Source organism: Homo sapiens, chromosome 1, assembly GCF_000001405.40.
Source record: "Homo sapiens chromosome 1, GRCh38.p14 Primary Assembly".
Taxonomy (NCBI): domain Eukaryota; kingdom Metazoa; phylum Chordata; class Mammalia; order Primates; family Hominidae; genus Homo; species Homo sapiens.
Window position 1 is genome coordinate 163,137,490 of NC_000001.11, and position 15,942 is coordinate 163,153,431.

General features: G+C 37.4%; 1 protein-coding gene across 12 annotated transcripts in view; it reads right to left on the reverse strand.

Annotated features, from left to right (window-relative positions):
- RGS5 (regulator of G protein signaling 5) overlaps positions 4,810-15,942 on the reverse strand; it is a 179,437-nt gene continuing 168,304 nt past the window's right edge. For 11 of the 12 annotated variants that reach the window (NM_001254748.2, NM_001414472.1, NM_001414477.1 and 8 more), the window contains 2 exons: positions 15,061-15,227; positions 4,810-10,014 (listed from right to left, as the gene is read on the reverse strand). In NM_001254748.2, the coding sequence (NP_001241677.1) occupies positions 9,853-10,014; positions 15,061-15,120 (222 nt within the window). In that variant the 5' untranslated portion in view covers positions 15,121-15,227 and the 3' untranslated portion in view covers positions 4,810-9,852. Of the gene's footprint in view, positions 10,015-15,048; positions 15,228-15,942 lie in introns of all 12 variants that reach the window. The other variant, NM_001254749.2, reaches the window with a different exon arrangement.

The window sequence follows — 15,942 nt, forward strand, 5'->3', positions numbered from 1 at the left end:
ATGGAAAGTCACAATAGCTACCTGCCATAAAGTAATAAAAAATAACTCATTTATTTTCTCTATTTTTTTAATGGTTAGCAAATTGGCTGGGGATGGATAAAGAACCCAATAGGTATCTAGTCTACTTATCCAGGAAAGGAGCAAAGCCACAGAGTCAAGGAAATTTGATACGCAGCGACTTTGAAGGAGACAGAGTAGGTAACTATCTGCCTGGAGTGGTTTGGGGTTATCAGTGGTCCCAACAGCTTCCTGTCTGTCTTGGTACCAGCCTTCCCGCCTCTCTGACTTGGTATTCATCACATTGGATAACACTGAGACATGGGAGGGATATTGTTTCCTGAGGGCATAGTTAAAAGACATAGTAATTTTAATTTCCTTTCTTGGCCTATCTTCCTAGGAACTTGGGAGGAGATGGGTATCTGGAAGTTTACATGTCCAGATTTTTTTTTCAGAAGTTAAAATACCAGACATTGGCTCTTTCAACACACTTCAAAGAGAATTCTCTAACCATCCCAAACATTTATCTTATCTAATTGGTAGAGACATATCTTTAGTGAAAGTGTGCCAAACTGGAGGAATATCACCCATTTTGGCCAGTTGGGGTCTGATGGGTGTGAAGGAAGTCTTCTTGGTGAAAATGACATCTGTGTGCTAAGTCTTAAAAAATGTGTAGGTGTTGACTAGGTGAAATAGAGGGAATATAGTGAATAGTACTGGCCTGTGTATAGCCTACAGCATGAGAAAGCTTGGTGCATTTGGAGAGCTGCAAGAAGTTGCTGATGACTGGCTGGTTTAGAGAACTTTATCTATGAGGCTAAGGATTCAAGACACTATTCTCCACAGCAGTGGTAATCAAAATTTTAGAATTAAAACAACATTTTAAGACTAAGAGTGGTTTTTGAGGGCATCCACATATGATTGGCTATAATATCATTATCTATTCACTTAAAATATTCAAAATGCAAGCTAACAGAAATTCAGAAATTTCTAAAAGTGAATTTGTATTTTACTGTTAACAACTGCACCTGAGTGAGTTTAAAATAATACATGGGCTGGGCATGGTGGCTCACGCCTGTAATCCCAGCACTTTGGGAGGCCAAGGTGGGAGGATCACCTGAGATCAGGAGTTCAAGACCAGCCTAGCCAACATGGTGAAACCCATCTCTGCTAAAAATACAAAAATTAGCCACGTGTGGTGGTGCATGCCTATAGTTCCAGCTACTCAGGAGACTTTGGCAGGAGAATCGCTTGAACCTGTGAGGCGGAGGTTGCAGTGAGCTGAGATTACACCACTGCACTACAGCCTGGGTGACACAGTGAGACCCTATCTTAATAATAATAATAATATATGGATATGTGAGGTGTTATTCAATCAATAGATAGTGAAGAGTACCCACAGGGATTTATAGACTAGACAAGTCTTTCTCTGTCCTCTGTGTCTGAAGACTACAGGAGGCTGCAAAGCATGGAAAACTATTGAAAGGTTTGAAACAGAAGAATAACATAATCAGATAAATGCTCTAAATTATTTCCTCCCTTGTCACAAAAAGCAGTTAAAGATTGTATGTGTTACTTTTTTTATGAGAATTTTCATTTAAGGGAGAATTCTTAAGTGATGGACAATGCTTAACAAAATGGAATAAATTGCAAATGTCAGTTTGCAATGGGTAGTTGGGAAATTTAGTATGAGAACTCTACCAGTTCTTCGAAACTCAGTAAAGAATAAAGCAAATACATGATCGTTGCTAGAGTAATATTTAGGATAAAAGACTTATGTGTGCATAAATCTTTATTTATTACCTGGTGTTGTCAGAGAATGTATGTAATGGGGATGTATATAATGCATATGAGTTACCAATTTTCAAAAAGTACACTGCAATAGACAGACCTCTCTCTTCCTCAATCAAACCAGTCTTCTCAATCAGAACACCCTTTGTCTCTGGGCTGTCTTCAGAAAGATTTAAAGAAACAAGCAATGTGTATCATCCCATTGGAGTTATATATATTAAAGAATCAATGGCTGCTAACTTCCTAATAGGACATTTTACACTTAAAGGAGTAGTTTGCTAACCCAAAAGGATAGTTAGTTGGGAAAATTGTTACAGAGATACAGGAGAGGAGTCTATTTTGAGAAGCAGGTTGTTTTGGGGTCAACTCTATCCTATCATTTCTCTAGTGTCTTATAGTTCTCTGATATCAACTTTAAGAATATCCATTATTATGTTATTATAGATATGTAAATGTGACATAAAATGAATTTTATTCCAGAAGAAAAAAGAAAAAACACCCACACTAGGAATCAGATCATATTGTAAAGATTATGGCATTATACAGATGTGTAACTCTGGACAAACGTTTCACTTCTATGGGCCTCAATTTCCTCATATATAAAATGGAGATTGGGCTGGGTGTGGTGCCATTGTAGGAGGGCAGAGTGGTTTTTTGTGTGTGATGACCATTACCCGACTAATCGCTATTAGTTACTTGGCTGATATGACTGGCCAGGCGAGTAGGTTCCTCCTTTGTTCTCTGGACTCTCAGTGTCTGTGTCCCCCAAGCTGCTGGCATCTAAGCTGAAAAGAATCTGCACAGAGAGGAGGAGTGAACTTTCATCCTGGGCGTATGAGAGCATTTGTAATGTCTATTCCAACTCTGACATTTTCTGTATCTGGACTTTTTCTTTTATTTATTTATTTATTTATTTTGAGATGGAGTCTCGCTCTGTTGCCCAGGCTGGAGTGCAGTGGCACTATGTCGGCTCACTGCAACCTCTGACTCCCTGGTTCAAGCAATTCTCCTGCCTCAGCCTCCCAAGTAGCTGGGATTACAGGCATGCATCACCACGCCCAGCTAATTTCTGTATTATTAGTAGAGACGGGGTTTCACTATGTTGGCCAGGAACGGTCTCAATCTCCTGATCTCGTGATCAGCCCCCGTCAGCCTCAAGTGCTGGGATTACAGGCGTGAACCACCGCTCCCGGCCTAGACTTTTTCTTTATCACCTTCCTTGCTCATTGTTAGTTGAATTTCTTGAGAAACTCAAATAGTATAGAAGTTAAGGCTTTCGTTTAATGAAATTAAAATAGTCAAAATAAATGTTCAGTTACAAGAAATAAGGGAACATCAATCTTCATTCACGTTTATTCATGAAAGTGTCTAGGCTCCAATTTTTGCTTAAGTGTCTCTTCTGTTTTCCAAGAATTCTGCTTGGAAGCAAAGAGGCTTAGGGCATTTAGCAGCAAAATCTGAGGCAGGCATCTATTTCTCAGTTGTCACAGACAGTTCCTTCTAGTGGCAGTCATAAGGCATCACTTTTTCAAAGCATAACTGACCTTCAAAATTGTCTGTGGGCATACCCACCCCTGTAACCCCGTCATCAACAGCATTTTTCTACGGTGAAAGTGACTTGAAAATGTGACCTCATTAGCAGAGACCAGGCTAACCTGGCCAAGAAGACTGGCTGCCAAAGATCGAGCAAAAAGGTTTACTTTTAAATAAAATTTTCATTGATATCTTTTATTGCTTTAACAAGTTAAGCTGTTAAAAGAGGGCAAGATTTGACCAAAAAGTGGAAAGGTGTGGAAAGTGGACTAGGAACTTGCTGGATGAGACTAATTCAAATGCAGAATGCAGTGGAGGCATTGGGAAGCCATCTGGAAAGTTAATGAACTTGGAAAGTGGTTTATGGGCAAAATAATTTTCAAGGTACTGCTGATTTAGAAAATGTAAAACTGGTACAATGTGCTTTAGAAAGCTGATAACTTGGAGAGCTCGGCCTACCTGACTCTTACAGATGGTAGAATGGGTTCCCACTTGGAGAGTGGTTAATTTAGTCTCTTTTGCTCAAGTTAGAGCCAATAACCCTAATGTCGTGAGGGATTATATGGGGTTACTTTTGTTTATCGGACCAAACGGGCATCTGAGAGACAGTCAAACTGATCTCTAGTCTCTGTTCTGCTACTGATTTGCAGAGTGACCTCGAGAAATATCACTTCTCTGTAGGGGAAACAAAGAGGTGTTGATGATCTTTGCTCTAATAATAGTTCTTGGTGAAAACTCTTGGAAACTCATTCAAGATAATTAAAGTAAAGAGGAGAGTAGGTGATATTGAAATGATTCAGGGGAATTATATCTATATTAAATATAGCTAGGCCTCATGGGGCCTGGGAATGAAAATTAAGAAACTTATCAGAGACCAAGACAGACACCCGCTTTAATCTCTCTTTATGTCTCTCTGTCTGTCTGTCTCTCTCTCTCTTTCCATTGTTTCTCCTTGTAAATCTTCTCCTAATGCTTCTATCTGAATATAAATTTTCCCCTTTTACCCAGTCCCAATCCCACTAGTTGTATGATCCCCTTTTACCCATTCTCAATCCTACATTATCTTAACTATGTGAGCACCAAATGTATGGTTACAGAATTAAGCTGCTTACAGTGGCATCTGGATTTCAAATCTTTCAGATCTTTCACCAGGGGAGGAAGAGAAAGGATTTACTATACTCACTGAATGTTGCAGGATCCAAATGATATATGTTCAGTCAGTTTCTAACAGTGATGGCAGCTGAGTCAATAAATTATTGTCACCTGAATCCAAGGGAAAGTAGTCAACAGAGTTTATGAAAATGGGGCACTTTGTATTTCCCTGAGTTTTGCATGTCAGGCTGTATTATAGTTGTCCTTTATTAGTAAGCATCCTCCCAATTGATCAAGAGCGCACCTGGTGTAAGAAGCATGGTGAAAGAACAAGCCTATCTTAAGGAAGAATATTTCATATAGAAAATACTTGGGAGTCAAGGAGGACTCATATGAGGCTGTTATATAGATATATATTTAATATAATATGTGTGATTGTGGTTACAGATACATATTTGGTGCTTTATTTATCCAGAAGCATGAGTCACATAGTACATAAAGTATTGAATACAAAATTCTAAAGATAAACACAATTTTTCTTGAATTTAAAATATATGGGATAAATGCTTACAAATGGATTTATAAACCTTTCACTTCTACTTCATTCTCCTGGCTGTGTCTTCCGAAGATGAGTTGCTAGTTGCAACATTAAAAAAAAATAGCTCCTTCAAATCCTGACACTATATGACATAAAAAGAACTTTTGGCAAATATTTATTCAGATTGCTTGTCTCCAGTGGCAAATTTCTCAGCATTTCTCTTTGTTTTGTCTATGCCTTAGCCTGTGCATTTTTCTAGAAAGGAAGTTAAATGCTTTTAATGTATTAATTATTACATTATTGAAGTTGGACCCAAATATGTTAAATATTTCCTCTTGCAAAGGGAGAAGAGGAAGGGAGGAACAGGGGCAAGGTGGGGAGGAAAAAAATACCTCAGGTGAGAGAACAAGTAACTTGCAAGAGGCTTATTAAACTGTATATAAATGTTGAAGAGGCTGATTTGTAGTTTCTCTACTAGAAAAATAATAAGATGTATTATTAAAACGTGAGTTGAGAATAATATTCCAAATGTTTGTTGTTGTCGTTGTTGTTGCCGTGGCCTGTGACTCTCTGCTGTAAGTTTCCATTCAAAGCCAGGAGTCTTTTCTCAGTTGGAAGAGTTGATCTTTTTAGTTTTGGGATGTGTAAGTGATGCTGGGAAAGCCTTTCTTTAAATAGTCATTGCTCTCGTTTGCCTCAGAACCTATTTGGTGAAAAGTGTGTTTAACACAAACAGTAGCTGCTAAATTGTTAACTAAAGAGCCTTGTGCGAAGCAAGTGTTCGATACGTGCTTGTCTAATAGAATGAAGAGACTATAAGCCAGAGAGGTTTAATAGCAGTTGAGCCAGCATAAACCAAGATGCACCAAACTTCATGTCCAAAACCTACATAGAATTGCCTACCCCTTGGGTTTCGATGCTTGGATGTTGGAGATTACATTTTCTATTCTCTGCTTTCTGGCACATGCAAGCCAGATATGGACAGGAAACCCTCAATATTTATTCATTTTTCTAGTCAAGGCTTTCTAGGATGATAAAATAAAATTTTACATCTAGCTGCATTGCAAGTCAGAAAATACCTTCCTGCAAATATGGAAGATGACAAAACTCAGTTTCAACCAAGCTGAGCTGCTCTTAAATATTTGTAGCAAAGGGATTACGTTCATAGGTCTGAGCACTTACTTTTTAACCTCTTCCCTTCTCCCCTTTCTTCCCTTTCTTTTCATGACTATTCTCTCCTAAACTTGCTAAACTCCCAGGAAAAAGGGAAAATGGCCTGCTAGGGAGAACAGTTTCAATAATGAAAATCATTTCTCTGAAATATAACTAGCTTTTACAACGATTCTCAAATTTGTTATTGGATAGGCAGTTTGGCAAAAACCTAGAAGGGAATGCTTATTAGTTTATTAATTTATTTGTTAATGGCCCAGTTTTTATTGAAACTTTTGCATGTCTATTACTCTTTGGAAAATAATTAACAGCTCCATCCTATTGAAATGGCTTGTGTACAGAGCACACATCAACCAAATAAAATCCATGGCTTTGTAAAGGATAAAAAAAAAATTAAAATAATTTATTTCACCAAGTTCTCCTTGGCACTGAATTCTACTTAAAGCATAATTCATACAGTAGAGAATTTGAGTACACGGGGTATGGAGAGTAGGGCACAAAATGTTTCCATACATTTGACTTTATTGATTTGAAAGCAAAGTTACTGAAATGCCTCAGTTAGTTCTGCATTTTAAAAGGTGTCTACCTGAAAGAAACAAAAAGTGTGTGTGTGTATGTGTGGCGGGGAAGATGGAAGATTATTCACATGCTTGAAGGCTATTCACACTGCTTTAACAAATAAACATGGAACATACGTCCTTAATTAACTGTGGAGTTAATAGTCTGTCTCTTTGTCCTGATGTAATTTAGATCTTAATCTAACCCCAACCCTAAACTATATCAAACCCAGGCAGAAAAACTGAAGTTACAGGCAACTACCTGGGCTAATCTTAGGTTTTTTTCTCAAGAGTGAGAACCATATTCTCCTATTTCCATTGACCACAATTTGGTTCCACCACCTTTCTACATCCTCAATTCACTCCCAACAGTAGTTACGTTTTCACAGGGGAGGAAAACGCCAGTACAACAGGGTTCTTGCATCAAGCTTCATGCTTTCCCAGACATTTACTCAAGGGAACGTGGAGAGGAGGAGGAGGAGGGAGCTGGAGTGATAAGCAGATGTTACACATGTTTTTCCTGGAAAGATCACCCCACTTTTTCTAATTTCCCAGAATTAAAAGAATGTATTTTATCTGTATTACCATGGAAATTACTAGTAACACTGGATTTTTTTCCCTCTTTTCTAAGTTTCCAAAAACTTTCAGAAGTGTTCAAAGAAATTTTCTTGAACAATTTTAATATGTTTGATTTCTCATTTGGGGCTGGAATATTTGTATTCTTTTTAATTTTTTTACTTCATTTATTAGAAGAGTTTCTAATATGTGTAGGAATACAATTTTAAATGTAAGATTATATAGATGTAGATATAGATAGATAGATATATGTAGATATATAGATATAATGTCACAATATCACTATAAGGCATTCCTTCTTCCATTCTTTTTATATCTCCACAGAACTGCTCTCATGGGACCCTGTCCTGCCCTGTAGGTAAAAGCCCTTCTTATTTTCCGCTGAGAGGTCTACCCACTTTCATAGGGTGTCCAGTCAATTTGTGAGTACAGTCCACTGGAGTCTTCATAACATCAACCCTCTAGGTGAGATCTGTAATAGCTAGTTAATTATCTGGGAATTTTTAAACATTTGGATATTGCAAATAATGTGAATAAAATACTTGAATTTTAAATAATTAAATTGTTTCTTCAAATGTTTTAGCGTTTATGAAAAAATAATGCACCAAGATTTTGGATTTCTAACATTTCTGGCTGTATGAGAGAGTAAAGGGTTGGCACTTTATTAACTTGGGGGCAATGTAGACATATGTTGAAGCTGGTTCTGGAAGTGCACCCTGGAAATTTTTATCTGAGTTCCTTGTCAATCCTACACAATTGCATGCAATGAGAACTTCATGATTGTAGCATTGATCTGGCCTAGCTCTGGACTGCTTGATGAAGGAGTTTCTTTGAAGTGAGCAATACTGGCAAATATGAATGAATTCACACCACTAGCAATTGTTGGCAGAACACCCAACCACTCTACCCAGTTTCAGAATGTGAAATGGCATGTATTCAGCAGGGCATATTATTCTTGAAGTCACAAAAATAGGGAAAATCCAACAAGCGCAGTCAGTGTTTACCTGAAGAATACAGTCACATAGTTGCTTCACTTTCAATATTCTTAGGAAATAACCAAATAAATGAGCTACAAATATGAGAAACTGAGAGTGTGTGAATGAAAGAGAGCAACAGAAGGAGGAAATACAAGACTAGACAATGTAATCTTCTACTTAACATTTCAGAATTTTATTAATCCTTTAAAAATCACCCTATTTCTTTTGAGTTAATATCCTCATCTCGATTACCCTCATACATGGCTTAGTTTGATTCTGTTACTAAATTCTGTGAATCATTATTTAATCAAATCTACTAAAGATTAGAAAAAATTCTAGCAAGACTTATAATCATGAAATACAGAATTAAAAGTTTAAACCTACCAAAAGTCCTATGGCCTATTATTTAGCTGTGAATGAGACACGTCAGGAGTATAAATCTGCACTTTTGACTGTAAGTAAAATTTGCTAATGCAGGAAGCGAAATAGTGAAGGAATACTGGGGTTGCTAAAAGATTACTTTTTTTTTTTTTTTTTGCAAAATGCAGTGTACCTTAAAAGTGTCTCACCTAGAAGGCCTCTACCTGTAATCACATTAATTTTTCTAAAGACAATTTGGTGTTTTGAAGATAAATGTCATTAGTCTATGATAATAGCATCATAGGACAATTAGCCATTTTAGACTTGACCATATTTTCTCTTTTTAGCATATAGCCATCTTGATATTTAGGTGGGAGACTACTCCAATGGAGCAACAGTTTCATTTTACATGATTGGATTTAGAAATTTACAAATTTTAAACTCATAAGAATTCTAAATAATTTGAAAATGGAAACATTTGACCCACAGTCTAGCAGCATAAATACATTTATAAAATACTTCATTGTTGATCTTAGGTCATTGATTTAAAACAGAATTTGGTGACTATGGGCAGGTGGAGGGGGCCAGTGAGGAAGGTATAAAAGAGAAATCTTTATGAATTGTGTTCAGATTGATTTTGTATAAACATAATATATTCATGGTTGTATCTCTTATTTATAATACCCAACTAACATGAAGGTGGTCCAAGGGAAGGATCAATATTTTAAATAACATATTTGCTTAAAATATCATACAGTGGCTGCTTCATAAAAATCTTATAAACTTTTATTAACCAAGTTCAGAAATAATTAGAGGGGTGATCTCCCTGGATCAGAACTAAAACAAGTGAGATCAATTAAGCTCCTTTGAAATAGGTCTGTCCACACTTAATATTCTTTTTTAGACCAATTTAGCTGGAAATCTATTACTTAACCCACATTCATTGATATCATAGTCTTGTCTTATATTTCTTTGCCTTAGGCAGGATTTTTCTGTGATTCTGATTGTGTCTGACTACAAGCTGAAGATATCTTAATTAATAACAGGGCAGGAAGAATTGAGTGGGGAAAGAAGGCCTTCGGACAGTAGATAAGTATCCAAAGCAGTGTGGGCAAAAAGAGTAAGCAACATCCCCTGGGATTTTTCCCATGTGGGTATCACTGAGCAAAGCTGCTGTGGGAAGATATGTAGATTAATGGGAAATGCAGGGTTATTATGGAGGAAATAACTCACAGGATGATTTCATAGCCTGGCTAAATTACTACTTGATTAACTCCTGATAAAACTCAGAGCGCACAAAGCGAGGCAGAGAATCCTTTTCCATCAGGGCATGGATTCTTTTCTGGGCCATGTCAAAGCTGCTCAGGGAAGGTTCCACCAGGTTCTTCATTGTGATGTCCTTAGTGAAGTGGTCAATATTCACCTGTGGGCCAGGAAACAGGGTCACTACATAAGCCTAAGTTATAGAATTTGATGAGGGGTGAAGAGGGAGGTGGAATTTCTCATCAATAAAACATAAGAGGGGAGGAAAGTCATTAAAAACTGAGACATGTCACTTCTCACTTTATAGGCGATGGGATAAGGCAGCTGATGTTCCAACAGATGCATCCAACCGGTATTAGACACCCACCAGGTGTCAGACCTCCCATAGAAGCTAACACACACATTACTTATTTAATCCTTGACAACAATCCTAAGAATGATTCTTTCCTTTTATAGAAAAAAATATTATATGCAGAAGGTTAAGTGGCTTCCCCAAGATCACAGAACTGATAAGTGTATTTGAATCTAGAGAATCAGAATTTGAATCCAGGTGTCCTGGTGCTTTTTTCTTTTTCTTTTTTTTTTTTTTTTTTTTTTGTTGGATAGAGTCTAGTTCTGTCACTCAGGCAGGCTGGAGTGCAGTGGCGCCATTTGGTTCACTGCAACCTCTGCCTTCCGGGTTCAAGTGATTCTTCTGCCCGAGCCTCCCAACTAGCTGGGTTACAGGCATGTGCCACCACGCCGGGCTAATTTTTGTACTTTTGATAGAGACGGGGTTTTGCCACATTGGTGAGGCTGGTCTCGAACTCCTGACCTCAGGTGATCTGCCTGCCTCGGCCTCCCAAAGTGCTGGGATTACAGGTGTGAGCCACCGCGTCCGGCCCTGGTGCCTAATTTTAAAATTCTAACACAACATTTGGTTTCACGTCTATTGGAGGAATTGAACAGAGAGAAGTAAATTCTGTCTGGGGATCCAGGACCTTTTGCATGGCTCCAGAAGAACAAGAAAACTTGTTCTTTCCAAAAACAAACCAGGAAACAGTCATTCTGACAGAATAATAATGAAAACAGCTAACAGCAATTAACATTTATTGAGTGCTCGGTCGGTGCCAGGCACTTTGCACGGATGAACTCATTTAATCTTATAACTCTATGAGGTATAATAGATGCTGTTGTCTACATTTTACAGTTGAGGAAACAGATGCACAGAAATGTTACATGATTTACTCAAAGTTCATTAATGGTAGAGAGAAGATTCAGAAATCCAGTGATGTGGCTCCAGAGCCCAGCCTTTTAACCAGTAGACTCCAGCACTGGGATGCACTGTGGCTTACATGTCCTGAGTGCAGGGCCACTACATTGCAACCATACTAGGGTCTACGTGAATGGTTCCTCTGGAGTTGTACAAGGTACAGCCTATTTGAACTTGGCTGACTATGAGTTTAAAGGAATCTTTATACTCCATGTTGTACGATTTAATGGTTTTTAAGGATTTTGAGTGTAAACAAGACAGAAATAGAATCCAAATCAGCCTATGGTTGTGAATTGAAACACTGATAAAGGTTTTGGGTCTCTCCTGGGCTGTTAGAGGTTTTTGGTACTGAATAGAGCTCTTTGGGCTCAGAGAATTATGAAGCAGCTATTAGTTAGAGTTGGAGACAAAATGCATGATTCCCTGGGGAGCCAGGTCAGAACAGACAGCAGGACTGAGCTGTGCTTCAAAGTCTAGGATGAAGGGCGTTGAGCTACATTAAGATTTTCCAGAGGTGAAAGGGGTCAATGTACTTTATGCAGGCCTGTTGGAAGATCAGATTGTCAGAATTGGGATCAGCGTCAGAGTTGATGAAGTCCAATGTCTGCCTTTAAATGTGAAGACCTCAGAGAGGTCAGGTTACATGCCCACAAACAGCTAGTGTGGATTAGAGGTGAGACTATAACATAGATTTCTCCATTCTCAGTCTATTATTCTTCCCGCCACACTGAAAGCAATGCTTCTTCCTTCTCTTATATTAAGTATATATCTGTACTGAGCTTGGTAGACAGGCTTATTCCAAATGATTGAGTTTCTAAAAATTATAAAAGTAGCTCCTAATCTTATTTTTTAAAGGAGTGATGTATTTAAAACCCTCTAGGACATAGTATCCACCAGCAAATAGCAGCTATTTCTCTTGGTATTTTTATGTGCTTAAGCCTTCTTTAATAAGTCATTCTGATACATATTTATCTGTTTAGTTATCCAGAAACAATATCATTTCATTAATTTCAAATATGGTCAAATGATAATTTGCAATGTATAAATTATCTACTTATTGACTTCCACATGGCCATTTCTCTTGTTTAAATTTAATTCCAATTTTTACCATTGTATCTCTCAGTCAGTTTCTTGTATTAAAGAGTTGAGGTGAGTATTCAGAGCAACAAAATTCAGATTACTATTTGCCTGGGTAATCTAGGTCTTATATAGGTCAATTTCATCAAAATTAAATAGTAAATATTTACATCAAAATACAAAAGTTGGAGAATTTTTTAAGTAATAAAAGCTATGACTTAACATACTTCAGGTGCACATACATATACACAAGATGGTTACAGTTAAAAGAACTGAGGATTAGAGAGCTTTAGCTAGAGACTTGCCCAAAGTCCCACATCTAAGAATGTCTGAAGTTGGATATTTTCATGCTTTCATCTCAAAAATATTTCTTGAAAGCTTTTTATGTGCTAGGAGTAGGATTCACATTCTCTCTAATACCCAGCTCAGGATCATTATTCTACATAATCCTGGGATGCCTGTATTTGGGTCTAATGTATACTATTGTACTCTTGCATAAGCATAGATCATTTAGAATGAAGGGCAAGGCTATTTTAATTACAGTCTTTCAACTAGTGACCACAATTTATTTGTCCCTATAACTCAGCTAGCCATGGTATTGTTTATTTTAAAATTATATTTTAGGTTAATGTCTCATATTTTCATAATAACCAATAATGTTTTCCCAGAGCTCAGAGTAACTAACAATTATCTGAGTGGGTTTCTACTATTTGTAGGTATTTCAGCAAATCTTAGAATTCTGTGAAGAGGAAGTCAAGTTGATAGGAAGGTAAGTCGGAGAATCCTTTGAAATGGGGAAATACATGTCCAATTTAATGTTAAATTAATCTTCTTGTCAATATATACAGAGAAATAACATGCTGACAGAAGAAAGGATGGCCCAGCACAAATGGTAACAGAAGTAGGGTAGAGCTAACATATGTGCTTAGGGTGGAGGTTGAGGAGAAGAAGGGGTGATCTGGAGAGAATTTCAAGATTAATATCCACATCAAACTTAAATCTAGATTCTTTCTAGCACCTTTTCATTTTCGTGGCTTTGACCCACAGTACTGTACATTCTCATACTCCTAACCTCCAACCCTGTGTCATGGAGGAAGCACATCTACTAGTATCAAGGTACATAATTTGTCCATCCACTCAAACACATTTAGGGTAACTCATAACTAAAGAAATACATATCTAATGGTGGAACTCCAGGAGTCTAGAGCATCTGTGGTAGAGAAGGGATATTTGGGAGTTTTTCTCTCTCAAACATCTTAAGTAGATTTCTGCCTACTCAACAAGGCTTGCCCAGATCACCTCCGTGCTTGACTCCAAACCTTGATGAAACATTTACTTTCCAGACTGGATTAAAAGAAACAAGTGAAATTAGAGTAACCTGACCATACCATGATGAACAGGGCTTGCTGTGGCCATCCTGAATTCCACAATAGGCTTTCAATGTGGTTTTATAAATAACAAAGAAAAAAGCAGATCAACTTCCCCAAAGTTTCTTTGAAATCAACAAAAATCTGGGCTTTAATAGTCAATCAGTGGTATATTGGCTTTCAACATCTCTAACACTGTTTTCTTGTAATATTTTGATTTTCATGAGTAAATATACCATTGTCCCAAGTACAGTGTAAATGGAAAAGTCCAAGTGGGGAAATAAAGGATAAAGAAGAGTAGAAAGGACAAAAAAAGAGAGGTGTTTAAAGGAAAGACTAGAAATGGGAATGGAAAGAAAAACAAAGAAAAGTTATAGAAATACTCATTAGGCATTAATCAGTTCGGACACTGAGATACTGGTTGATATAGTTTGGCTCTGTGTCCCCACCCAAATCTCACCTTAAATCATAATAATTCCCACATGTCAAGGGCAGGACCAGGTGGCAATAATTGAATCATGGGGGCAGTTTCCCTTATACTGTTCTTGTGATAGTGAGTTCTCACGAGATCTGATGGTTTTATAAGGGGCTTCCCCCTTCACTCCACTTTTATTCTCTCTCCTGCCACCCTGTGAAGAGGTGCCTTCTGTCTGGATTGTAAGTTTCCTGAGGTCTCCCCATCCATGCGGAACTGTGAGTCAATTAAACCTCTTTCCTTTATAAATTACCAAGTCTTTGGTATTTCTTCATAGCAGTGAGAGAAAGGAATAATACACTGGTTGAACATCACTTATCTGGAATGCTTGGGACCAGAAATGTTTCAGATCTTGAATTTTTTGAGATTTTGAAATATTTACATATACATAATGAGATAAGATATCTTAATATGAGACCCAAGTCTAAACACAAAGTTCATTTATGTGTCATATATACCTATACATATAACATGAAGGTAATTTTATGTAATATTTTTAATAATTTTGGGCATGAAAAAAGTTTTGGCTGTATTTTGACTGAGACCTATCACAAGAGGTCAGTGGAATTTTCCACTTGTGGCATCATGGTGCTGAAAAAGTTTCAGACTTTGAGGCATTCTGAATTTTGAATTTTCAGATCAGAGATGTTCAACCTGTATAAGTTTTTACACCCACTATTTAATTTAATCCTCACAACATCTCCATAAAGTAGTCTCCATTATTCTTATTTTCACAAAGGAAGAAATGAGGTTCACAGAGACTCAACAATTCATGCAAGATTTCACATTGGTATGATCTCCACTGGAGGTTAGTGGAGGTGAGACCCATAAAACTAGAAAGCGGTCTGAACAGGATTGTTCATATATACTTGACCATGTTGCTCTGCCTTTGTACTCAATAGGTGCTTAATAAGGTGGTCGACTCACAAATAGGAATAGCCTTTGGCTCCCAACGGGAGGTCTGTGTCTCAGATGTAAATCCTTCCTGAGAGCTAATGAGCTGCCCTTAACTGACCCACCTACCCAGAGACCAACCTCTTTAGGAGCCTCCGTTTGAATGAATTCTTCATAAATTTGCTTTGCCTTCTCAGCCATCTTGGCAGGGGACTTGATCTTCTTGTAATCCTCACAGGCAATCCAGAACTCAAGGTTTTCCTCACTGAATTCAGACTTCAGGAAACTTTTGAAACTGGCAAGTCCATCTGGAAAGAAAAAAACAGTCAGCTGGAGAAATTTATTAATTTACTTAACAAATATTGTATCCATGAGAGAAAGGGAAAGGGCTTAGCAATACTCTTCTATGCACAAAGTTTTAGCTCATTCATGTCTAGCTTCCTTTACTCCTTCATTCAAATGCAGAAGGAATGAGACAGAGATGGAAGATAGACAGCAGAGAACACAGAGCTCAAGCCCTGCTCATCATGCAGAGCTGTATGGAACTCTAGAACTAGACAGAGATTTACCACATTGTCTTTCCAAACAATCAAATGCAATGTCTATTTAAGTGACAAACGTTTACCTATTTACGTATCAAGGAACACTATTAACACTAATGCCATTCTGGACACTTAAACTACCAAGGAGAAAATAATACATTTAAAACTTGGCTTGTCTATGCAAGTAATGTTAATGTTAAGTATCACTATGAACTACTCACAATTCTTTATTTTCTCTTTGTACAGATGATTTTTGTTTAACTATTATGTCCCAAGCACTATGATTTAAGTCACCACGATAAGTAAAATAGACATGGTTCCTGTCCTAATGGAGCTTATAGATTCTGGAAAAAGTAGAAAGAAAATGAAGAAACAGAAGAAACATTTACACGATGAAAGGAAAACTGTATGAAAGGTAGTAACAGAGTCATAGGAGAGTCCTGACTTCATTTTAGGCTAAGGGAAGGCAAGGAAGTAACAT